The sequence below is a fragment of the Homo sapiens genome, chromosome 12, assembly GCF_000001405.40.
Source record: "Homo sapiens chromosome 12, GRCh38.p14 Primary Assembly".
Lineage (NCBI taxonomy): Eukaryota > Metazoa > Chordata > Mammalia > Primates > Hominidae > Homo > Homo sapiens.
Window position 1 is genome coordinate 52,369,242 of NC_000012.12, and position 23,541 is coordinate 52,392,782.

The 23,541-nt window shown below is 48.7% G+C and overlaps 1 protein-coding gene across 2 annotated transcripts, besides 5 other annotated features; it reads right to left on the minus strand.

The window, feature by feature from the left end:
* Window positions 792-1,291: an enhancer, noted in NCBI's record as "H3K4me1 hESC enhancer chr12:52763817-52764316 (GRCh37/hg19 assembly coordinates)". NCBI's record gives its function as "activates a minimal SCP1, AML or CMV promoter by ChIP-STARR-seq in naive H9 embryonic stem cells {active_cell/tissue: H9 hESC(naive)}" and the evidence as "EXISTENCE:reporter gene assay evidence [ECO:0000049][PMID:30033119]".
* Window positions 3,453-3,622: an enhancer, noted in NCBI's record as "experimental_28991 CRE fragment used in MPRA reporter constructs". NCBI's record gives its function as "activates a minimal promoter by MPRAs in K562 erythroleukemia cells, with activity observed for both the introgressed and non-introgressed 12:52766563 or rs10876281 variant alleles {active_cell/tissue: K562}" and the evidence as "EXISTENCE:reporter gene assay evidence [ECO:0000049][PMID:34662402]".
* Window position 3,538: a transcriptional cis regulatory region, noted in NCBI's record as "Neanderthal adaptively introgressed variant 12:52766563 (GRCh37/hg19 assembly coordinates) or rs10876281 in the experimental_28991 CRE". NCBI's record gives its function as "modulates activity of the experimental_28991 enhancer by MPRAs in K562 erythroleukemia cells {active_cell/tissue: K562}" and the evidence as "EXISTENCE:reporter gene assay evidence [ECO:0000049][PMID:34662402]".
* Window positions 5,130-5,299: an enhancer, noted in NCBI's record as "experimental_28997 CRE fragment used in MPRA reporter constructs". NCBI's record gives its function as "activates a minimal promoter by MPRAs in K562 erythroleukemia cells, with activity observed for the introgressed 12:52768240 variant allele {active_cell/tissue: K562}" and the evidence as "EXISTENCE:reporter gene assay evidence [ECO:0000049][PMID:34662402]".
* On the minus strand, window positions 8,571-17,736 carry KRT84 (keratin 84). 2 transcript variants are annotated; one of them, XM_011538335.3, is made up of 10 exons: window positions 17,583-17,736; window positions 15,799-16,353; window positions 14,349-14,557; window positions 13,764-13,824; window positions 13,196-13,291; window positions 12,120-12,284; window positions 11,839-11,964; window positions 11,122-11,342; window positions 10,635-10,666; window positions 8,571-9,139 (listed from the first exon to the last, which is right to left on the minus strand). In XM_011538335.3, exons 2-10 carry the CDS (start codon window positions 16,342-16,344, stop codon window positions 8,793-8,795), a joined length of 1,803 nt encoding a protein of 600 aa, XP_011536637.1. In that variant the 5' UTR covers window positions 16,345-16,353; window positions 17,583-17,736; the 3' UTR covers window positions 8,571-8,792. The 2 variants fall into 2 exon arrangements, with proteins under 2 accessions (XP_011536637.1, NP_149034.2); NM_033045.4 differs by lacking the exon at window positions 17,583-17,736 and having other exon boundaries at window positions 15,799-16,411.
* Window positions 12,321-12,490: an enhancer, noted in NCBI's record as "experimental_28998 CRE fragment used in MPRA reporter constructs". NCBI's record gives its function as "activates a minimal promoter by MPRAs in K562 erythroleukemia cells, with activity observed for both the introgressed and non-introgressed 12:52775431 variant alleles {active_cell/tissue: K562}" and the evidence as "EXISTENCE:reporter gene assay evidence [ECO:0000049][PMID:34662402]".

The following is a 23,541-nucleotide window of genomic DNA, read 5'->3' on the forward strand; positions in this document are numbered from 1 at the left end:
GGGCTGTTCCTTGCCCTGCCACAGCCTTCACCTCCTCTGCACATTTATGACTCCTTCACCCTTTCAAGACTGCTTTTAATGTTTTTTTTTTTAGTCTGATTTCACTTGTATAGCAATTTTGGGTGGAGTCTGGGGACAGAGAGAGGAGGCTGTATGGGGGAGCTCAGTGTGGGGCCTATTGCTGGGATACAGGGATGTTTGGACAGTGAGTTCACTGACTGACTGCCATGTAGACCTGGAGCTGGTGTGGTATGGGCCAAGAGGGATTCCTGGAGAAGGGTGGGGTCCGAACGTGGCAGGTAGAGGGGACTGAAAGCCCAGAAACACCTGCCTCTCTCCACAACTCCCGTAAGCCTCTGCCCTCCTCCAGGTTCTTAAAGATGATGGGACCAGAGACATTTCTCTTCCTTCTTGGGGGCAGGAGGTTTTGTCCTGGAGGGAGGCTCCTGTTTCAGCTGCTTTCCCTTGCACCCAACACACACCCCATCCAACCCTCCACCCTAAATGGGAAGGGAAGGTGGGGCCAGGGGATTCAGGAGTCTGGGGGTATTCCACTGTTTCCAGAGCTAAGATACCTCTACAGGACCAGCAGGTCTGTCCAGCCCAAGGGTATGAGCCCCTTCGAGGGTGTGCGGGGGTGAGACAGGCCCACCCTGCCCACAGGAATGTGCTCGTGCGTGCTGGGTGAAGCTTGCATCACTGCTGATGGCAGTGCTGAGCCCAGGGCTGGGGCTGGGGGCTTCCCAGGATGCTGTCCAGGTGGAGCTTCGGATTGGAGGAGCTGGACTGAGGGCAAAGCCTTGAGGGGAGCAGATTCCTTACGGGGCTGGCCCCAGGTGGTCCAGGGCCAGGGAGCAAGTCAGGCCAGGTGGATCTGGCACAGCTGCCCTGGAAAGACCTGGGCCTTTGCTTATGGTTCTACCCAGGGAGGACACAGAGAACACATAGCCTCCTGCCTGCCTCTAGCCATCACCCAACCACTCTGCCCAGTGGAACCCAAGTCGTTGCCCTGAGAGTCAGGATCTTTTGGGGGCTGGGAGCCCCATCTCCTTTCAGTGTCTCACCCTCATTCACTGTGCCCTCATTCACCTGTGCCCTATTGCATCCCTCTTCCTTCCACCAACCTTCTCCCTGTTACACCTTGGCCTGGAATGTCTCAGAATAGCTGCCTCTTCCAGGAAGGCTTTGTGAGCTCATCGGGGGAGGCTGTGATTTCTCCTCCCTGCTGTCTCATAAATGCCCTCTCTGGGGCTCCCCAGGTAACTCCATTTATCCCCTTCTACACTCTCTTGTCCTAAGGACTGTCACTCATCACCTCCTTTGGCTCTGTCCCCTCTTGTACCCTGCACCTTTTGAAGGCCCCATCTAGTTTCGGGAATCTGAAGAATCCACGACCTTCCCATAATTTAAACTGCTCCCAAGTGGCTTCTTCTTCCAGAAAGTCTTCAAGAACTACTTGAGGAGAGAAGTTCTTTACTCTACCCTGGAGCTCCAGGCAACCTCTGAGACCTCCTGTGAATCTGCTCCACTCCAGAGGTACATATTCTGGGGTTTTCTCAGAGGCCTCACTGCTCCCACCTCAGCCCCACTCTCAGGCGGTGCTTTTTACCTGAGCTGGGATGCTCCCTGGGGCAGCTGGCTCTCCCCAACCCCAGAGGCCCACTACCTCCCTTCCCTTCTGCTTTTTCTACTGTGCTAAAATCCCCTCCTTCCAGGAAGACTTCCTGGATTTGTCCAAAGACAGGAGGGTGCTGACACCTTCCCCATCCTGCACTGTCTGTCCTCCCAGTTTTGTGTTTGTGCCTGCCTGGGCTCTTGTGGGTTGTCTTCCCATCCCTCCTAGTGGGCTGGTCCCCCTCAGTCAGTCCTGATGGGCTCCCCATGGACAAGGCCTGCACAGCTGATTCAAACTGGGTACCGCCCTTTGCCTCTGCTGGCCACACTTTTATTATGCATCTAAGGCTACGCCACTGCCGCTGCTGAGACGCAGCTCTTGGAGGCTCTTCTTAGCCCTCTTTCCCTCTCTTTGACTTTCACAAGACTTGGGCATGATTCAGGGACCCTAAGTGAGAGAAAGGAGGGTCAGAGCAACTCTACGTTCTCCAGTGTGTCATGGCGGGGTTCCGTGCCCAGCTGACACAGCTGCTCCCTGGCCTGCTCCACGGCAACTCCAAGAAACTCCATTCTCCTCCCGAACTCTGTCCACGTGCCTTCCTATTGGCAGCATTCCCTGGTGCTTTGCTGTTTTCCATGGTTACTCGGGATCAGAGCAGTGGCTCAGTCGTTACAGAGCCTCTGATTTCAGGAATGTACTGCATGAATGGTTTTGAAATGTTTTCTTTCTTTTCTTTTTGGCAGTTGAGCCATCTCCCCAAATCCTAGGAGGAAAACAGCTATATAAAGCCATGTATTTACTTATGTAGTTATAGAATAGATAAGATTGACATGCTGGTCTCCCTGTTTGCCCCTGGCCCTCCAACTCCATTCTCAGCCGAGGAGAGTAAGCCCCGTAAAACATAAGTTGGATCATGTCTCTACCCTGCTCAAACACCCAATTCCCCATTTTGCTTGGAGTCCTAACAATGGCCAACAAGGCCCTGCACTGCCTGTCTGTGTTGTGGCCTTTGTCACCGGTCTCCCTGTGTTCAGCAACCACAGTGACCTCCCACTGGAGCACCAGGACAGGGTGCACTCCTGACTCAGGGCCTGTGCCCTGCTGTCTCTTCCACCCAAATGCTCCCCTGTCATCCAAGTGGCTTGCCCATTGCCTCCTGCAGGGCTTTGCCCCTATACCATCTCTCTGACCCTTTAAAAAAATGGCAACCTGCCCTCCACCCCAGGGCACTCTCCATCCAGCTTATCTTGCTCTTATTTATTTATTTTTCCATCACACTTAACACAGTCCAGAATTTACTTATTTATTCTATTTGTGGATTATTGTCTGTTTTTCCCATCACCCCAAAGTAAACTCCATGGAAGCAGAGATTTTGTCTGTTTTGTTCATTTTGTTCACCTAGAAAAGTGCTGGGAATATAGTAAGTGCTCAGTAAATATTGTTGACTGATGAATGTATAAATGAATGGCTATCTTGGATACTTTAGATATTTGAGGTTTGGCAGAAAATGACAGCTTGTGGGAAGCCTTGGCCCTTGAGCCCCGAGGAACACATGCAGTTTGAAAGCCATGGGACTAAGACCCCTCCCTGGCTCTTTCCTGCTTCAAGGCTGTGGTTTTCTGAATACCCATGGAGACAAAGAACACAGAACGGTGAAAACGGCTGGGTTGGGCTGGTGAGAAAGGAGATAGATTTATTTTTAAAAGCTGTTACTTATTGTTTTTATGTTTGTGTCCTAATTACAAATCTGGAGAAAAACAAAATGGTTTTACAAGACTCTAAGCTCCCTCCTCTCCTTGCTATATTGCACAAGCCAATCCTGCTGGTAGCCTGCTTTGAAAATCTCCTACGCCTTCTTGTCCGAAGTTGGTGGCCAGAAGAGGGCAGCAAATTCCCACAGCTGGCCTGGCAGCAGTTCAGTCGTGGCAGAAGCAGAGAAGGCCAGGGATCTGCCTGCAGCTGGCTCTGGTTTCCAGATCTTTGGAAGCTGGAGACAGTCCCTGACGCTTCTGCATCCACCTGTGGTTGGTACTGGAGTGGCTGAGCTGCTGACAAAGCTATTGTTCATTGACAAAAGAGAAACACCACCACCACCACCACTACTGAAGCAATTGTGTACCCACTGTGGGCCAGGTTGAGTGCCAAGCACCTTGGATTACCATTGCATGTCATCCCCACATCTCTTTGAGGTACGACATATTTTTCCATTTTACAAATGAGGCAAGAGGCGTATTGAGATTACGTGACAGGCAGAACAGCACAGTGGTGGTGAGCATGGGCTCAGGAGTCAGAGCTCCTGTGCCTCACCACTTATTTAACCTCTCTGGGCCTCAGTTTTGTCATCTGTCAAATGGGAAATAATAAAAGCACCTACCACCTAAGGATATTGAAAGAATAAAATGAGTTAACCTGTGAGAATTATTTGGAACACTACTCAGTTCAACATATGTTAGGTATTATTGTTACCTCTCATTACCTTTGGTCACGCAGCCAGTAAGTGGAAGACCTGGGATTGAACTCAGGTCTGCCTGTGCCCTTGTCCATGGGTTTGACCCCTATGTCATCTCTGGGAGATAACTGACATATTAATAATATTGAGTCTTCCAGCTCATTAACACAGTATATCTTTCTATTTATTTAAGTTTTCTTTGATTTCTTTCATTAATGTTTTGTAGTTTTCAGCATACAGATCCTCATATACTTTTTAAAGGTTTATGCCTAAGTATTTATCCTTTGGAATTAAATGGTACTATTGGAAATGATATTTCAACAATTTTTTAATTTCCATTGCTGGTGTATAGAAATACAATTGATTTCTGTATATTGACCTTGCATCCTGCAACCTTCCTAAAGTCACTTATTAGCTCTAGTAGATATTTAAATAAAGATTTCCTAGAATTTTCTATATAGAAAATGAAGACTTCTGAGCTGTATTTCTTCCTTTCCAACCTGTATATTTTTGCCTTAGTTCAGTGGCCAGGACAGCTTGTACAATACTAAGAGTGGTGTAAGCAGACTTCTTTATTTTGTATCTAATCTTAGAGAGAAAGCATTCAGTCTTTTACCATTAAGTATGCTGTCAGCTGTAGGTTTTTTTTTTTTTAGATTTCATTTGCCAGGCTAAGAAAGTTCCCTTCAATTTCTAGTTTGCTGAGAGTTCTCTCTCTTTTAAGCCAAGAATGGATGTTAAATTTTGTCAAATGCTTTTTCTGCATCTGTCAAGATAATTATACTGTTTCTCCTATTTAGTCTGTTGATATCATGAATTACATTAATAGACTTTTGAAAGTTGAACCAACCTTGCATTCCCAGGCTAAACTGTCATTGGTTATGATATACTATCCTTTCATTTGTTACTGTGCTTACTTTACTAATGCCTTGCTGAAGATTTTTTCATTTCTGTTCATTAAGGATACTAGTTTATAGCTTTCTTTTCTTATAATGTCATTGGGTTTTGGTGCAGGGTAATGCTGGTCTCAAAAAGAATTGAGACGTTTTCCCTTCTCTTATGTTTTCTGGAAGAGTTTGGGTTGAATTCTTTCTTAAATGTTTGGTAGAATTCACAAGTGAAAATGCTTAGGCCTGAATTCTTCTCTGTGGGAAGGTTTAAAACTGTACATTCAGTGCACACTTACTAGATATAGAGCTATTCAGGCAGGACTGGCTACATAATTTACAAGGTCTATCTTGGTGAATGTTCCCTATTATCACTTGAAAAGAATGTATACTTTTCTGTTTGGGGTGGTGTGCTCTATAAATGTCAAGTAAATGAGGTTGATTGAAAGTGACACAAATTACCAAAGACAGTGACAGTAGGCATTAAACTTTCCTTCTGTTAATCTGTCTTTGGTCATCTTAATTCACAGACTCCAAGCACTAAAACTAAGTGGGTAAAGGAAAGCTTTTTCTCCCTGACAGTGTGTTTCGACCATTTATGCTATATGTAATTATTAATATTGTTTTATTTAAGGTCTGTGATTTTATTATTTGTTTTCTTTTTGGCCTTTCTGATGTTTCTCTATTCTTTTTTATCTTCTTTGGATTATTTAGATATTAATATATTTTCCTTTGATCTATGACTTAAAAAACTTATTTATTATTATAATTATTCTTATTTTTGCAGAGAAAGGGTCTTCTGATATTACCAAGGCTGGTCTCGAACTTCTGTGCTCAAGTGATTCTCCTGCCTCAGCCTCCTACAGTGTTAAGATTGCAGGCGTCAGCCACCACGCCTGACCTCTATTGATTTTTGAGTGTATCTCTATGTATTACTTTTTAGTGGCTACTCTAGAGATACAATGTATGTAATCTACTTTTTCACAGTCTACTTAGAGGTGATATTTTATCACTTACGTTTACCTTCCCCAGTTTATGTGACAGTCATCATAGATATTGCATCTATATAAATTAAAACCCCATCACTAGTTATCATTTTTATTTTCAATAGTCATATACATTTTAAAGAACATAAAAGAAACAAAAATAAATTTTATATTTACCCAGATATTTACCATTTCTGTTGTTCTTCCTTTATTCCTGAAATTACGTTTCTCTCTGATATCGTTTCCTTTTAGAGCAAGTCTGCAAATGGCAAATTCTCTTAGTTTTCCTTCGTCTGAGAATGTCTTTTTGTTTCTTTGTTGGTTTTGTTTTCTTTTTGCCTTTGCTTCTGAAGGAGACTTTTGCTGGCTGTAGAATTCTGTGTTTACAGTCCCTCCCCCCTCCACAACCCTTGGCACTTTAAATGTGATGTGCCACCATCGTCTGTCTTTCATGGTTTCTGATGAGAAATCTATGATAATTTGAACGATTATTCCCCTATATGTAATGTGTTATTTTCCTCTAGCTTAAAAAAAACTTTAAAAAAATCTTATGTTCTCTTTATTCTTCAGATTGGATAATTTCTATTGATCTGTCTTCAAGTTATTGACTCTCCTTTGTCTACTTCTTTTTGTTATGGGCCCATCAATGACTTAAAAAATGTCAAATATTAAAATTGCCCCCAAGGGGTGTGTGTGACTTTGCACGTAGAAGATGAGGTGGGAAGTCATGAGCTCCTGGAAGCAGGAGGGCCAGTGGCTGGTGACCCCACCATCATGCAGGGCCTGAGGCTGTGAGCAGGGCAACCTCTACATCCTCAGGGTGCTGGCTGGGGTCTTGGCAATGCAGAACATATAAAAATGAGAGATGTGCTTCCTGCTCCCTCAGAAGAACTGTCTTGGAGTGAGGCTGACCAGCAAACCATTCCTACTATGAGACATGTGCCCCAATGGAGCTGTGCTGTTCGTGACTGTGCCTTGGCTGACTCCTGTCCCCACCTGACGCTATGTCTTGCACTCTATGCTATAGTCATGGCCAATTTCAACTCCAGGCAAATCCTCAAACTTCTGCTCTCTCCAACGTCTTGGTTTTTGCACATGCTGTTGTTGCCTCTGCTTGGGACACTTCTTCCTTCTTAGTATGGCTAATTCATCATCCTTCACACCTCTGCTGGGACATTATATCCTTCAGGAAGCATTTAATGTTGCCCCAAGTCTGGGCGGGGCCTCTTGTCTGGGTAGTACAGCATGAGTTCTGCTTTTAATATAGTACTTAGCATATTGAGTCAAGTGCTTATGCACTTGTCCATCTATCAGACATGTGCACTTGTCCATCTATCAGACAGGACTGTAAGCTCTTTGAGGGCCGGAATTGAATCTTGTCAATTACCATTTTCCCAGCATCATGCCTGGTATGTGGTAGGCACTTCTCAAATGTTTGTTGGATGAATAGACAAAAGATGAGAGGTGGGCAGTGGGCTGTGTGGAGGGGATGGCTGGAGGTGGAAGTCTACGGGCAGATCACACAGGGCTTGTATGCCATGTTAAGGAGCTTGGGCTATTTCTGGGAGGCAACGGGGAGCTACCGAAGGATATGAGCTGCGGGGAACCACAGTCAGTTTTTTATGTGAGAAAGGCCTTTCTAGCAGCATCGTGATGAATGAGTTGGATGGAGACACGAGTGGGAACAGAAAGACCAGGAAGGACCTATAATGAACTGATGAACTGGGGGAACTGAGGGTGGGTGAGACCTGGGGAGCAACAGATGGCAGGGTTCACTTTGGTCAGGGGAGGGTGCCTCTGAGCACAAGGCTATTCCCAGTGGTGGGGGGAAGTGGGCAGTGGGCTGGCTGCCACTTGTTTTTGGAGCCTTTGCTACCTCTCCTATGCCCTGCAGAACTGTCAGTCCCTCCAGCGAATGGCCTGGGCCCTCTTTCCTCAGTGCCTTCCCTGTGCCCAGGACACCAGTCTCTGCCCTACCTCAGCTAGGCAGGCTGTGATCTGGTGGAGTCTAGGAGGCAACTCCTCCAACCCCAGTGTGATCCAGAAGGAGAGGCCAGAGTCCCTGTGAGGTGAGCTTGGCAAGTTTATTGAAAACCCAGGAACACAAAGAGTAGTGCACACAGGCAGCCCACCCCACCCAACCCCCAGGCCTCCTTGGAGCTTGCAGACACAACCCTGCAGTGGACAGGGCTGGGCCTCACACCACGAGCAGGGGCAGGAGTACGGGGATCATTGCAAAGCCCGCCTGTCCGCCTGCACCCCACCTCGTGGACTTGCATGCTGGAGTTACACCAACAACCCAGGAAGAGAAACAGCCGGAGAGAAGCCACTGGGAGAAAAGCCATCTCGGGGTTTAGGGAGCCTGGGGCCACCAAGGACTGGGATCCCCTTCATCAGGGAGAGAAGGAAAGAACCTTCTCCTACCAGAGAAAGGAAGAAGAAGGAAGTGAAGGATGTGGAGTTAAGGATGCCTGCAGTGTGGACGGTCAACTCCATTCTCCAAATTAACCCAAAGCCACGGGTGGTGAGGGCACTGGGTGGATTGTTGTTATTGCACGGAATGTGCATTTCTCCAGGCTGTTGCTGACAGGGAGAGGAGTGATCCAAAGGACAGAAATTGGGAGGCAGGGAGAAGCCAGCTTAGCTGGAACTGCTAATGGAGCATCTACATGGCAGAAAAATCCTCCAAGAGGACATGGGGCCAGGCAGAATAATCGGGGGAGTGCTAAGGGGTGGCTTCCTGGCAGAAAGGGGAGCTGGAGACCGTCAAGCCCAGAGCCCACGAACCCTGGGGGCAGAAGCAGGAGCCGTGGAGCTGGTTCTTCTCTGGGCAGCAGCTGTCTGGGGCTGGGCTCTCAGTACTTGGTCCGGCAGGAGGTGGTGGTGGACACAAAGCGGACGCTGGAGCTGCGGCCGCCGCTGCAGCTGCTGAAGCCCCCCTGGGTGGGCAGGGGGCAGGGGACGCTGGGGACACAGGCCTCGCTGATGAGCATGGAGCCACTCCTTGTGCCAGTGCTCAGCAGGTCCCCAGTGGCCGGGGCGACCCGGGCTCCACCCAGGCTGGGGCCACAGGAAGCCAGGACCCCACTGGTGGCACAGACGCTGCTGCTACCTGAGAAGGTGACCCCGCCGCGGGAGAGGGTGGAGCCGGCAACCAAAGGCTCAGGCCCGCACACCAGGCCGCCCCGGGAGCTGCTGACGGCTGCGGAGAAAGAAAGCATCAGGGAGGCTGCCGACACCAGGGCCCTCCACCTCCATGCTACCCCTGGGCTGCACCTCCGGGTCTGGTGGGGAGGGAGTGGGGTCAGGGTTGTGGCATCTGGGGAAGTGGTCCCTATTGTCTATACAGTCAGTATACACTTTTTCCCTCTCTGGATGGCTCAAAGACTGTGACTACATTAAAATCAAACATTCAGATGAAAATGACGACTTCATCCAATTCCCCAGATGTTTGCATGCATCCATAGGTTGACTGTCATTTATATACGGCTAAAGTCAAGTTGGGTTGTGAGATGTAGGTAGTGAGCTGGATTATCCAGACAGCTGGAACAGCAGCTTCCACAAAGCCATGGGCCTTTTCTCTTCCAGTTGTATTATGCCCCTTGGTGGTCTCCATATTTCCCCTAGCCCAGCACACAGGAAACCCCTCCAACACTAGTCCCTTGTCGCCTCTCTCCTGACCCACTGGTGGCTGTGCTCTGTAGCCCTCTGCTCTCCCTTGGACACAACTCCATGCCTCAGGACTCAAATCCACAGAAGAGCTTGCTAGACCAGCCCCATCCATGGAGGGGTACACTCTTTCCTGCCCTTTCATCTTACCCAGAATCCTTCCTGCCATCCATGATGTTCACTCAAGCTTGACCTCCTGCAGAAAGCCATTGCCTGTGGCTTCCCCTGACCACTCACCGCCTCCATGGGAGTGGGAAGGGACACTGTCTTCCAAGTACATGTAGCTCTGACTGTCTGACCCACCCAGTTTAGCACTCGGTTCCACTACACGTCAGTGTTCATTTGTGTTTTTGGAGTCAGAAATCTGGGTTTGAAATCTGGTTCGCTTTGTAAGTTCTGGCAAATCATGTACTTTCTCTGAGTGGGCAAAACAGGGATGCCAGTATCCGCTTTTCTCCCCAGGGATCCTTCCAGTGTTAGGTTGATGGTGGCTAGGACTCATCTTCTCAAGAAGATTCTATTTCTAGAGAGCGTGGGCTGGGTCTTGCCTTGCCAGTGTCCCCAGACTGCCATGCCCGGCACACTGCCCTGCGTGCTTTGGGTACAACCCATGCTTCGGCTGCAGCAGTGGGGAGACTTCCATTTGGCCTTATTGCGTTCCCTGCCATCAGGGGATGAGAGGCTCCCCTGGCAGAGGCGTCCCATTCCTTCTAAGTCCCAGTCCTTCTAAGTCCTTCTAAGTTCCCTTGAAGGACAAGGCCGCTCAAAGCAAAAAAGCTGGCTGTCCTCCACTTTGGAGGCCTTGAAAACCTTTATGAATGTTTTGCTCTGGGGAAGGCAGGCTCTGGGGAGATCTCAGACCTCAGCTAAGAAGATGCTCCCCATCCAGGGCTGGATGGTCCCAGCTCCCCTGACTGTCGTGGCCAGACCGGCCATGTCGGACGCCTCCTGACCCCAGTGTGAGCCTGAGTTTAAAGGAAGTTTGAAGAGGAGAGAAATGTGTGAAGAGGAAAAAACAAGTTTCTTACATATGTTTACTGGTCCAACACCTTCACAGAGCCTGGAAAGGGGAAGAAACAAATCATTTCACATGCACTATTGTTTCCTGAAAACCTATTTGCCATAAAAAGGGCTTTCTTGTTTGAGTAGATCTGTGGAGCAGTAGTTCTCACCCCTGGTTATACACACATCTGGGGAGCGTTGAAAAACACGTTCTTAGACCCTATCCCAAAACCATTAGATTAAAATATTTAAGGAAATTTATCATTAGTAGTAATTTTAGCAAAATTACTAATGATTCTGGTGCAGCTTATCTAGACTTGCATTTGAGAATCACAGGTCTAGAGCCTTCTTCTGATTCCCTGACAAGGGCAATGCAACTAATGTTTGCAGAGAAGGTATTGTCATCTTTAAAGACTATGTATTTCTGCAGTTCTTCACTGTCCCCTTCTCTTCCTTAGTCTTTCTAGATGCCTAAGTCTGACTTCACTCTCCTGCTGGACTGAGAGTACTCACCGGCTCTCCTCGCCCTCCAGCAGGCGCCTGTAGGTGGCGATCTCGATGTCCAGGCCCAGCTTGGCATTCATCAGCTCCTGGTACTCGCACAGCTGCCGCGCCATGTCCTGCTTGGCCTGCTGCAGGGCACACTCCAGATCTGCCAGCTTGCATTTGGCATCACTGAGGGTCGCCTCGCCCTGCTGCTCGGCCTCGGCCACTGCAGCCTCCAACTTGGCACGCTGCAGGGAAGGCAGTTTGCAGGTAGGCTTCGGCAGTGCCAGGGCATCCCCAGGTTGGGTTAGAAACACGGCCCCTCTTAGTGGGAACATAGCCTGGGGCCAAGGCAGGGATGGACCCCATGGTGGCTGCTTTCCCAGGCACTGGAGACCCTGTAGTTTGATGTCACTATGGGGTAGGGCATTGCTGTTGTTTCCATCCCCACTGACTTTGTCACTGCTGATTTCAGCTGCCCCAGAGTCATGGCATCTAGAGGGTAAATTTATTCTTTCTGTACCACCTTCCCTGCTGGGTCTGCTCTAGCCCTTTACTTCTATGTGGGAAGCTCTCCTTCCCTTCCATATTTTTATCCTCCAGAAAGCCTTCCTGGACTGATCCCTCCATTCCTTGGTTTCTGGGTCTTGATGGTCTCCCTCACCTCATTAGACTTGGGGGTTCCCAAAGCCTGAGGCCCTGGTTCTCCCTCATCTGAGGCTTTCCCTCCTTTCCTTTGCCCACCTGAGCCTTGGCGTGCTCAATCTCTGCCTTAAGCCTCTGGATCAGGCGGGTCAGTTCGTTGATCTCGTTCCGTATGTTGCGCAGGTTGTCACAGTGTTGGCCAGCTGTCACCTGCATCTCTTCATACTGCGGAGAGAGGAGGGTATTTTGAGGGTTCGGAGGTCAGGTCAGGATCACAGCCCCCACTGAGTTGGGGGCTTCAAACCTCCCTGGGCCTGATCTGTTATATATGAGTCATTCCCAGAGCTGCCTACATCCCTTCCCCAGCCTCCACTGCCCACCTTGGTCTGGTACCAGGCCTCAGCATCAGCCCGGCTGCGCCTGGCCACCTCCTCATACTGGGCCTTGACCTCAGCAATGATCCCATCAAGGTTCAGGTCACGGCTGTTGTCCATCTTCACAATGACCGACGTCTCTGAGATGTGCGACTGCAGCAACTGGATTTCCTGTGTTGGAGGATTGGGGAGACAGATGTGCTTAGAGTCTCATTTAGTAGCTGGGACTCTGCCACAGGGGGCCCAGGAAGTGGTGCCAGGGGCAGAGAGCATCACTCATTGGTTCATAAAAAAGCAAGACCATCTAAATTGATGATAAAGAAAAAGACATGTCTGAGAACCATCTCAGGCTGACTTTAGAGCTCTTGTGATCTACTCAGAAACATCCCTTTAACACACTACTTTGCTCAGTAAGTATTAAAACCATGGGGATCTAAGAACATGGTGGAAGAAAGTGGGAGCCACTCTAGGGCTTAAACTTTTCTTAGATTATCTACAAAGTGGCTGGGCTGGTCACAGACCGTTGAGACCTGACAATATTTTAGCACATGGTGGTCTAGGAATTCCTATATCCCAAGCCCTTAATAGAAGAACTGAGGGGCTTGGGACTGGCCTGCAAAGAGAGTTCCAGAGGAGGCTTTCCTCAGCCTCTTCACTTAGAGCTAGCAATTCAGCTCTGGCTGGGCCTATACCAGACTGGACAGATTGTTTATGAAGCAAAAGACAGCTGGTTTGGCTAATTAGGTCAAACACATTTTTTCTTACCTCTCCTGGCAAATCAATTTTTCAGTCTTCTTGTCAGTACACAGGAAGTGACATTTCTAGATCCCAGTCTTTAAATTGGTAAATAAGGAGTTGGATCATAGATCCAAGGAGTTTGACTTGCATCAGGCTGCTGAAAAGCCTGCTCACCTTCCCTTCCCCATTTGAAGACATATTGGCATATATAGCATACAGATTTGAGTGAGAGGAAAGATATATGATAGCAAATGTTTGAAAATATGCTAGCCCAGGCTAAGCATTCAGGGAGTCCAGGCCAAGCATTGATCTCCTTGGGTGCCCTAGAGAAGATGAACCCTCACCTCCATGTAAAGCGTTTTTAGAAAGTCAATTTCCTGAGTTAGGGTATCCACGTTGGCCTCGAGATCAGACTTGTTCATGAAAGCTGCATCCACATCCTGTATAAAACAGAGAAGGATAAATACTCATCGCCTGGGCACTGTTTCACCTTCCCACCTGTGTCTGGAGATGGGTGCAAAGAGGCAGCCACTTCCCACAGATGGTAAGGTCGCTGGGTAGAAGTGAAGCTCAGCAACTTTTGCTCATTTCCCTATTACAATGCCAACATTCCCCCAGGGGCTGCTGGACATTTCCTGATGTTCAGTTAGAGGCAAAGAAAATCTAGATAATCCAAGATACTTAGGTCACCTTTTCATACCTCTGCTCACATGTGACCCAATCCTAAAGAATCTGAGGCTGAACCTGAACTTTGTAGGAAATCTCTTGTTATCTCTGAGATTCCACTGTCTCCACTGTCTTGATGTGAGTAGTCCCAGACTCCACAGGGCTGCCTGAGCAGTTTCCTGGGGAGTCTTGAGAACATTTGCCGGTCCAGAGGAGAAGTTGGCCTGGTCTGTGGTTCCCCCTTACCTTCTTCAGAGCCACAAACTCATTCTCAGCATTGGCCCGACATACCACTTCCTCTTCATACCTGATGATAAAGGTTAAGAGGGTGAGTGCTTACTCTGAACTGAGAGGCAGTTACTCCCAACTCCCCAGTGAACCTTGCAAGATCTCTCAGTCTGTGCAGGATCATGGTTCCCTATTGCTATCTGAATGCTATAACATCATCCCCTCTGTCTCATCTTTATGACCTTTCATAAGCCAGTGCCTCTCAGTTTCTCCAAATCCCTTCCACTTTCTTAATGTGGGTTTGGGATCTGAAAACCTGGTCTATTGCTATGTTCCTCTGACAGAAATAATGTAGGATCATTGCATTTGACTATAGAGCAAGTAGGGCCCAACTGAAAAAGATACTGAACATGGGCACCTTTTTCCTCAGGAGGGCCTCCTCTTCTCTGTTCACATATCTCTACCCACCCCCACCTCCCCAGGCTTGATGTGGTAACCAGCATTCAACCCTGATCCTTCCAGCTGCTCTCATCTGAGCTTGGCAGCTAATTCTGGGGCCAGGCCTGGCCTGTCACTGGTCTGTGCAGCTCAGATGTCACTCACTTCTTCTTGAAGCCCTCTAGGACATCCTGCAGGTGGTTCCTCTCAGCCTGGAGCCGGGCCTGATCACTGACCAGCACCTCCAACTGCCTCCGCAGGTTGGTGATGTAGCTCTCGAAGAGTGGCTCCAGATTGCTCCTGATACATTTCTGCTCTTGGAGGAAGCTCCACTTGGTCTCTAGGAGCTTATTCTGCTGCTCTAGGAACCGAACCTAAATCCACAGGGCACAGAAATGGCATTTGAAGTGCTTGATAGGGTTCATGCCTTGACCAAGCTCTTGAGATGGCCAGCGATGACTTGACCACATGTCGACAGGGTTCTCTCCTCTGCTGACTTTCATTCCTCCACTAACTCAGCAGAAGCTGGAAGGGCAGGTTGTGACTCCCTCCTTGTGCTCGGCTAGGCCTAGTTACCAATATGGGGTTTTGAACCATAGCACTTCAGTACCATTCCCCTATCCAGTCTCTAAGAAAGCTGTACACTGGTACATCAGGAAGTTGGAAGGGTTGATTCTATTTAAGCTCTGGTTTGCCTATATCTGAAAACTGATGCCAGGCATCCCTGGCAGAGAATGGGGAGCAGAGTAAACTACATTTGGGGTGGGATATGGTACTGGGAGGTAGGAATTCTCAGATTGTAAGTCCTATCCAACATCGCAGATATTCCATTGGCTATGTGTAGAGCTGGAAGAGAACTTACAGACCCTTTACCCCAGCCCCTCATTTTAGAGAGGAAGAACCCAAAACTTACAGAGGTTATCCTTCATTCTCAGACATAACCATTCCATCTCCACATAGACATGGTGTGTGGGATGTCAGTTCTTTTGGGTTATCCACATCACTGTTCCCACTCATCTGCCTGGAAGCCAGTGACTACCAGTGGTCATTCCCTGCAATTTCCCTGAATCTAGGCAACTTGGCCGAATTTTGATACCCCATGTGGGGGTATGAATTCTTCTTCTTTTTTTAATTACTCAACTCCATTCTCTACTTTTCTAAGCCTGAATAGATGAGGCCACTCAGCCTCAGAAACTATGAAAACTTCATAAGGAACAAAAGGATCTCAAAGAATAAAACCTCTTAAGCATATACCAGCCAACACCTGGCTAAAGTCCCAGTGTTTCCAGCCTGTTTCAGAGACATTTCTAAGTGACCAGATGCAACATCTTAGTTTGTCGAGATGCCCTCGAGTTTGGCTGGATGCTCCTCTGTCCTCCAGAAGATATCAACACTGTCGGAATCTATCCCACCATGCAGCTCGTCCTCTGGCTTGGCCTTGCTCTGCAGCAGAGCAACCCATAAAGCATACCACAATGCCTGAGGTAGGCACTTGAAAGATCTGAGGTCAAGGTCAAGTCCCCAGAACCGGGCCAGTTCTTTTTAAGGGAAAGAGCACTCTAGCGCATTTTGGCTGTAATATTCCTAGACCCAGAGATTCAGCTATCATAGGTACCTTGTCAATGAAGGAGGCAAACTTGTTGTTGAGGGTCTTGATTTGCTCCTTCTCATCCTTCTTCACCCTCTGGGCATTGGGGTCAATCTCCAGGTTGAGGGGGGTCAGTAGGCTCTTGTTCACAGTCACAGCTGTGATAGATGGGGCTGCTGGGACTCCAACCCCTCCAACTCTGTAACCAAAGCCAGGGCCACCAAAGCCATAGCCAATGCCACTGCCAGCTCCAAAGCCCAGACCAACACAGCTGTCAGCCCTAGGCCCCAGACCAACACCTCTCCCATCACCAAAACCCATCCCACAGCCAGCACCAAAGCGGACTCCACAGTGGATGGGCCGAGAGCCTACAGCTGCTATCCGGGGTGAGTACGATCCAAAGGTGATGACACTCCGACTACCAAAGCTGCCAAGGCCCCGGAATCCAGGCCCACTCCAACAGGAGACAGAGTTGGCCCGGAAGCGATTCAGGTTCTGTGGTGTCATTGCTGAACAAGAGCTGAAGTTGCCCACCCGGTGACCAGAGCTGACTCGGTAGGAGCGGCAAGACATGATGGCTTCCTGGTTGGGAGCAAAAGAGCAAGTGTAGAATGGGTGAGCTGGAGCTGGGAGTCCCTCTGAGGCCAGTGGAACCCTTGCACCCCTTTTATGTGTGTGGTGATCTGAGGCTTGGCCCCATAAAAATGAAAAAATCCATTTGCAGGCATTTATGAGCTTGGGTAGTTAGCAGAAACTCTGCATGCCTATAACCTCCTTGACAATGAGTTAACTCAGACACACCTAGTCTCATTGGGATGAGGGCTGTAACAGCAAACCAATAAACATTAAAAACACATAAACATATAAACATTATAGTCTTTTTTTTCCCTATAAGTCTACCACAATTGCCATTAAGGGGACATTAATTTGCTTTGGTCATAAATGCAATAGGTTTTTTCACTGTGAGTGTGGCTAACCACCAGAAAGTTAGGATGGCGACAGCTCCAGCAAGAGGCTCACATGGGATGCATCCATGAAGATATAACCCCCTAAAGAGGTGGGAGTGTGTGCACATCTCCAAGTAAGAAGTGATATGGAGAAAATACAGTTTGTTGCATTTCTGCAAATCAATTAAATCATCAAAAAACCTTCTGCCATGTTTTATCCAATATGGCTGTTTAGTATACAAGAGTTGAATCTACAGTAAAGCTCATTTGGGCTAGTGTAGACACATCTGTGATTTGAGACACTCAGAGATATTCATTCATTCTACAGTTTTAGAGTGCCTGCTATGTATCCAGCAGTGTGCTTGCTGCTGAGGGTACAGAGATTACAAAGACAGTCTCTATCTTCATGGTAGTAGGGGAAGATTTATCTTAAATTTTTTTTTTTTTTTTAGAGACATGATCTAGTTGCCCAGGCTGGTCTTGAACTCCTGGGCTCAAGTGATCCTCCCGCCTCCGCCTCCCAGATAGCTGGGACTACAGGCATCCACCACCATGCCCAGCAGAACATTTATCTTGAGGATTTCCAGCAGTCAACACTTTGTGGCATGATTTGAGGCCAAAGCATTGGAAAGTTTCTGTATAGAAAGCTAACTACATGATTTTTAGCCCCCAAATATACCATAGGTGTGATTTATGGGCCTGTCCATTTAGGTTCCTTGAATTATTGATGAATCTTTGGTTAGGATAGAGAGACACAAAGCAATATACATCTGGATAGAAAAGGAAAAGTTCTCAGCAGCTGAATATTATCATTGTTAGCAATATTGCAGCTCTTTTAGGACCCTGAGCCAGGCTGGTGTTTACCTTTTCTATTCTAGTGCATCCTTTGCCCAGGGGAACTCATGTTTGACTGGACGCTTGAGATTCTTTGGGATGCTTGCAATTCCACTTGGAAGGGGATGTATGCTTTTGACCAGAAGCATCCAGCTCATTTGTGCGGTATTTTCTTTTTCCAGCTATCAGCTGTATGTCTAAGGGGGAAATGAAGCAGAAAAACAATAAGAAGTGCATACTTCTCGTCAAGACCACCAGTGGCCTCCATGTTAAATTCAATGGTCTGTCCTCAGTTCTCACTTTCTTCACATAGCTGACCATGCCCTTTCTCTTGAAACACGCTCTTCTTTTGATTTTCGGACACTACACTCTCTCGATTTCTTGCCACACTCTTTTCAGTCTTCTAAGCCAGTTCCTCCTCATATCCCCAACCTCTAGACACTGCAGAGTCCCTGGCTCAATCCTTGGGTATCTATTCTCTTCTTTAGACTCATTGCCTTGGTGATATTATACAGACTCAGGACTTTAAATACCATCTGTTCATTCATGACTGCCAAGGCACAACTCTATCCCAGACCTCCCTACCCCTAAACGCCACACATATATTTTAACCAACATCTCTATTTGGATATCAGATAGGCATCTCAAACTTAATACAGTTGTCCCTTGGTATCCCCAGGTAGTTGGTTCCAGGACCCCTTGTGGATACCAAAATCCATGGATGTTCGTCGAGCCTCCGATATACAATGGTGTAGTATTTGCATGTAACCCACACACATCCTTCTGTATACTTGAAATCATCACTGGATTATAATACCTAATACAATGTAAATGCTATGTAAATAGTTGTTATACTTTATTGACAAGAAAAAAGTCCGTACTTGTTCAGCACAGATGCAATTTTTTTAAGAGTTTCAATCTGCAGTTGGTTGAATCCACAAAGGTGGGAGCCACAGATACAGAGGGATGACTTTATGACCAAAACTGTTCTCCTAATTGTTCCTGCTAAATATGTTCCACTTGCCAACATCACTATCTCTGCAATAGTTCATGCCAGAAATCTTGGAGTCATCCTTTTGTCCTCTGTTTTTTATTTCCCTTTTCCCACATTCAATTCATTGGCAAATTCTCCCTTCAAAATATATCCAGACTCCTACTCCTTCTCACCATCCTGCTGCTCCCATGCTGGCCCAGGCCCATCTCTTCCCACAGGATCTTCTGAACTACACTCCCAGCTGGTCTCCCAGCTTCCTCCCTTGCCCCTTCAGGCTTTTCTTAGCAGCACAGAGTGATCCTTTAAAAACATGTCAGATCATGCCATTTCCATGCCGAAACTCCTCCCATGGTTTCCCACCCATTCAGAGTCAATGCCCTGTAAGACACTATGCAGTGTGCCTCCCTCTTCCCTGACCTCATCCCCTCCACCTGTCCCGCTGCCCACTCTGTTGCAGCCACTTGAGCATCCTGGCTGTCCATCAAACAGGCAGAATGACTCCTGCCTCGAATGCTTACCCCCTTGCTGTTTTCTCTGCTGGGAACCTTTTTCCTCAAATAGCTGTATGGCTGGGTCCCTCAACTCTTCCAGGGCTTTGTTCATATGTCATCCTCTTAGCTTCTATTGGAAACTCCCTGTCCTCCCTGTACACCTGCCCCGCTTCCTTGTCGCCTTAGCATTTACAGCCATCTGAGGTCCTCTTCTTGGGTGGATTTGCCTGTTGTTGTCGTTGACTTGTACTGGCTGGAGCAAAGCTTTAGGAGGCAGACACTGCTGTGCATTTTGCTCTCTGAGGGGTCCCCAGGACTCAGAGTGGGGCACATGGTGGGCATTCTGTATAGTTTCGTTGAGTGAATGGAAGAGGCTGTGAAGATTAAAAGCAGGAGGAGAAAGAAATAGGAAGTATGAAGAACAGGAATTTGGGCATTTGATTTTGCAGATATTTCGGGAAAAAGAGACTCCAAGTTCCCAAATGGACAGGAATGGCCCAGGAGGGGACGGTGGGGCAGAAACTCAAGAGCTCAAAGGAGAACCAATCCAGTTTGTCCCCCAGTTCCAGCCTCTTGGGGTTTGAGCCAGGCTGCTTGAACGAAAGGGCATCCCACTCCTCTGAGGCCAGGCGAGGGGTTCCAGGAGATTGGGGCAGGGGGACCAGAGGCTGTCTGGTGGAGGTGAAAGGGGAAGGGAGTGGGAGGGATGGCCTGCCTAGAGAACCCTGGTGGGGACCCAGAAGATGATATCAATTTTAGAGTCAGATGGACCTGGGTGAAACTCAGATTTGTCACCGACTAGCAGTATGATCTTGGATAGTGCTATACCAAGGGCAGGGTGGTGGCCAGGTTCTGCTGCAGGTGCAGGCACTAGGGGAACTTTTCTGCAGAGAACTTTAAAACCAACCAATCAGCTTATTAACAATTTTCAGCATGCATTGGCCATTCTAAATAATGGTAGTAGTCCCTTCCACCCCTATGGTATACCAATGACCTTGGGGAAATTGTTTAACCTCTAAGCCTCAGTTTCCTCATGTTAATATGGAATATTCCCTGTTTCATAGTATGATGAGGATTGACTAGGAAGTGCCTGGGATGTGCACTGTGCAGTGCCTGGCAGCTGCTACTGTACTCCATTCCTTTCCCTGGCTCTTTCCTCCCTCCCTTCCTCCCTTTTCTTCTCTGTTTTGCACAATCCTCCCTTCACTTCTACACAGTCATCCCTGTTCCCATCCACACCCGCCTCCTTCCTGCTCCCATGGCAGATGCATTCATACCCCATTAGCCATTCCTGTCCCATGTCCCAGCTTCCCTCAACCCTGATCAGGCTGGGTGGGGTGGGGGTAATTGTAATTGGGACCAGTCAAGCATAGTCCCTGCTCTGTGATGAACTGTCACCATCAGCAGTTTGCAGTTTGGAGGCATTATTTCGCCAGACGATGCATAACACAACCCTCAGTCATTTTTTAGGGGGTGGCAGGTGGGGAGAGGGGGCGGAGTTGCCCTGGCAACTTTGGGTAGGAGGTTTTGCTGCTGCAACAGTTTCTTCTTGCTGTTGTCAGTCAGCCTGAGTGTAACTCCAGAGACTTGCGGGCTGAGCCCAGGCTCCGTGGCTGCATTACCATGCCTGGCTGCTGGGTCATCAGGATCCTATCTGTGGAGCAGGGAGGAGGCAGAAACGCTGAGCAGAGGAAAGGGAGGGGAAGGGCTGCCTGAGGGAGGGGGACATCCTGGTTGGCCATGCAGGTTCTGGGAACGCTGTTTGCACTGTGGCTGGGTGTGTGTGTGGGAAAGGGGATGACAGGGGAAGCCCAGATTCTGAGAAGGCTTCAGAGGGCTTCTGTTTAGCCTGGGGACGAGTTTGTGCTGGAGAGAGGCACTGGCTGGAGAAGTTTTCATGCTAAGACCTGCTCCTGCTGGGAAAGGAAGCTTCAGAGTCCCCCCAGCAGGGGTGGGGGTCGGGGGGCAGGGGGTGTGTGTGAGAGGCTAGGTCCACCCTTGCCAGTACCTCCTCCTCTCTCCCCTCTCAGATGAATGAACACGCCTCCCCACGGAAGATAAAGCACCCCCTTCTTGTTTTCTACCCACCCCTCTCACTTCTTCCAGGAAGGATGGTTTTTTCAGGTTTAATGCGATGTCTCACATGGCCCACATGGTTGTCACCTGTCCAGAGTGAAAATGTTGCTCCTGGTAGACATCTAGTTCAGTTTGCTTCAACACACCTTTATTGGTTGCTAATGTGCGCCTGGCATTGCACTTAGGTGCTAGGATGGCTAGGACAGCCTCTTCCAGGTTCAGCGACTCCAAGCACCCCCTCCTCTGCTCAGGGTGCCATTTCTAGAGCCATTTTCCCAATTCCAGCCCCTGCCAGGATTCTTTCTGGGTACTTGGTGACCCTGGCTGGAGTGTGGCAATCGTGGGTGGACCTGGGACCACAGATGTGACTGGTGTGAGGAAGGGCCATTAGGGGCAGAGTCACCCAAGGGAGGGGCCAGGGGAACAAGGAGGAGCTGTGTGGGAGGGAGAGAAACTCTGGTGAGCACTTGAAAGCTTCAGGAGGAAGAGGGCCAGGAAATGGGAGACTTTCTGTGGAGACAGACACAGAAATACAGAGCTCCAGTTCAGGTCCCCCCAGCCTCCCTAGGCCTCTCTGGGTTGTTCCCCATCCTATCCTCACTGGCACATTCTGGAGGGGCTGGGATTAGGAGACTCCAGGCCAAGCCGAGTACAGTGAAACTCTGGCTTCATGCAGACGGTTCTCTTTCTCACCAGGGCAGGGGGCCGGGGCCTGTTCCTACTGTATTCCAGCACCCATTGCAGGGCTGACCCCAGAAGACACTCAGGAGGTGTTTGCTGTGTTGAATGGAATGCAGACATCCCAGCCACCACCAGGAGGCACATCTGTCCCGCCTGTTTTGAATGTCTCCTCTCCTGGGGAGGAAGGGGGAATGGGGACACAGCTGCACGATGCTGGGGAGTCCCTGGTGGGTGTCCTGGAGGGGGTGCCCTGGTCTCTGTGCTCACATCCAGGGCTGAGCGTGGGAGCACACTCCTGGGATGAGCAGTGCTTATGGGATGACTCCAGGCAGCCTCCCTGCCCAGCAGACACTTATCAGGGGCCAGGCACTCTGGAACCAAAATCCCAAAAGGGTGGTTACCAGGCCCCGAGCCTACCTCACCGCAGTGGGGGGAGTCTTCCTTCCCTCTTCTGCTTCATTCTTAGCTCAGTCCCAACACCAAGGTGGGCCGTTTCCTGGGCCTCGAGCAGCCATCTGTGAGATGGGGTGGCCAGTCTCCTTGGAATCTGTTTGCTGACTACAGGGCGGAGGGTCACTCTGGCTCTAGGGTGCTCTGAATTAGTCCTCAGCAGGGAGTGGAGCTGGATCCAGGCCCAGGTCCAGAGAGACGAGGCTTCAAGTGGGAACAAGGCTCTCAGATCCATCATTTCCTTCTCTCTTTCCCAGCATGTGGATGTGCATCCCCGGAATCACACTCACAGGCCCCAGCCATGTGCTGCGTGCCCAGCTGGCAGCTGTGATGCCCCAGCCTGGAGCCTGCTGCTGGCATCCTGCCCAGACAGTCCCGTGGGCCTCCAGGACTCAGGCTTGCCTGCCCCTCCTCCTGGGAGCTTCCAGAGCCTCAGGACTAAGGTGGGACTCTCAGTTCTGTCCCCATGGCCTTCTGCTCTGCCACCATCACAACAGTCCTCACAGCTGTAATTTTGTGTCCCCGGTCTGTATTTCCCGGTAGGCTGTAAGCCCATGGGGCATGCGGCCAAGGCCCCATTTAAAAAAAATAGCCTTACTGAGATATAATTGCTATTACTGTATATAATTCATTCATTTAAAATGTAAGAGTCAATGGCTTTTAGAGTGTGCAACCATCAATACAGCCAATTTTAGAACATTTTCATCACCCCAGAAGAAACCTTTATTTTTTATAAAAAAAAAATGTTTTTTAAGCGACAAGGTCTTGCTCTGTCACCCAGGCTGGAGTGCAGTGGTGCGATTATAGCTCACTGCAATCTTGAACTTCTGGGCTCAAGTGATCCTCCTGCTTCAGCTTCCCAAGTGGCTGGGACTGCAGGTGCAGCCACCACACCGGGCCAAAGCAACCTTTAGCTGTGGCTTCTATGACTCCCCTAAGCTCTGTATTCTCCTCCTTCCAGCCCTAAGCAGCCACAGCTCTGCTTTCTCTGTGGATTCCCATATTCTGGACATTCATACAAATGGAATTGTAAAATAGGTGGCCTTTCGTGACTGGCTTCTTTCACTTTGCATAATGTTTCCAAGGTTCATCCATGCTGTAGCATGTATCAGCACAGGACTCCTTTATATGGCAGAGAATATTCCATTGTGTAGGTGTGCCATATTTTGGATAGACACTGTGACATGTCTACACAGTGTTGTTTCCACATTTTAGTTATTAGGAGTAATGTGATAAACTTTCACGGGCATGTTTCTGCATGGACATAGGTTTCTATCTCTCTTGGATGTATGCCTAA

Bases quoted from the DNA above. Each gene is read 5' to 3' on its own strand.
- KRT84 (XM_011538335.3), bottom strand. From the start codon at position 16,344: ATGTCTTGCCGCTCCTACCGAGTCAGCTCTGGTCACCGGGTGGGCAAC. The intron at 12,285-13,195 runs GTGAGGGTTCAT...CCTCCAACACAG, and splicing joins TAAAAACGCTTTACATGGAG to GAAATCCAGTTGCTGCAGTC. The intron at 9,140-10,634 runs GTAAGAAACTTG...CTTTCTCCGCAG, and splicing joins TGTTGGACCAGTAAACATAT to CCGTCAGCAGCTCCCGGGGC.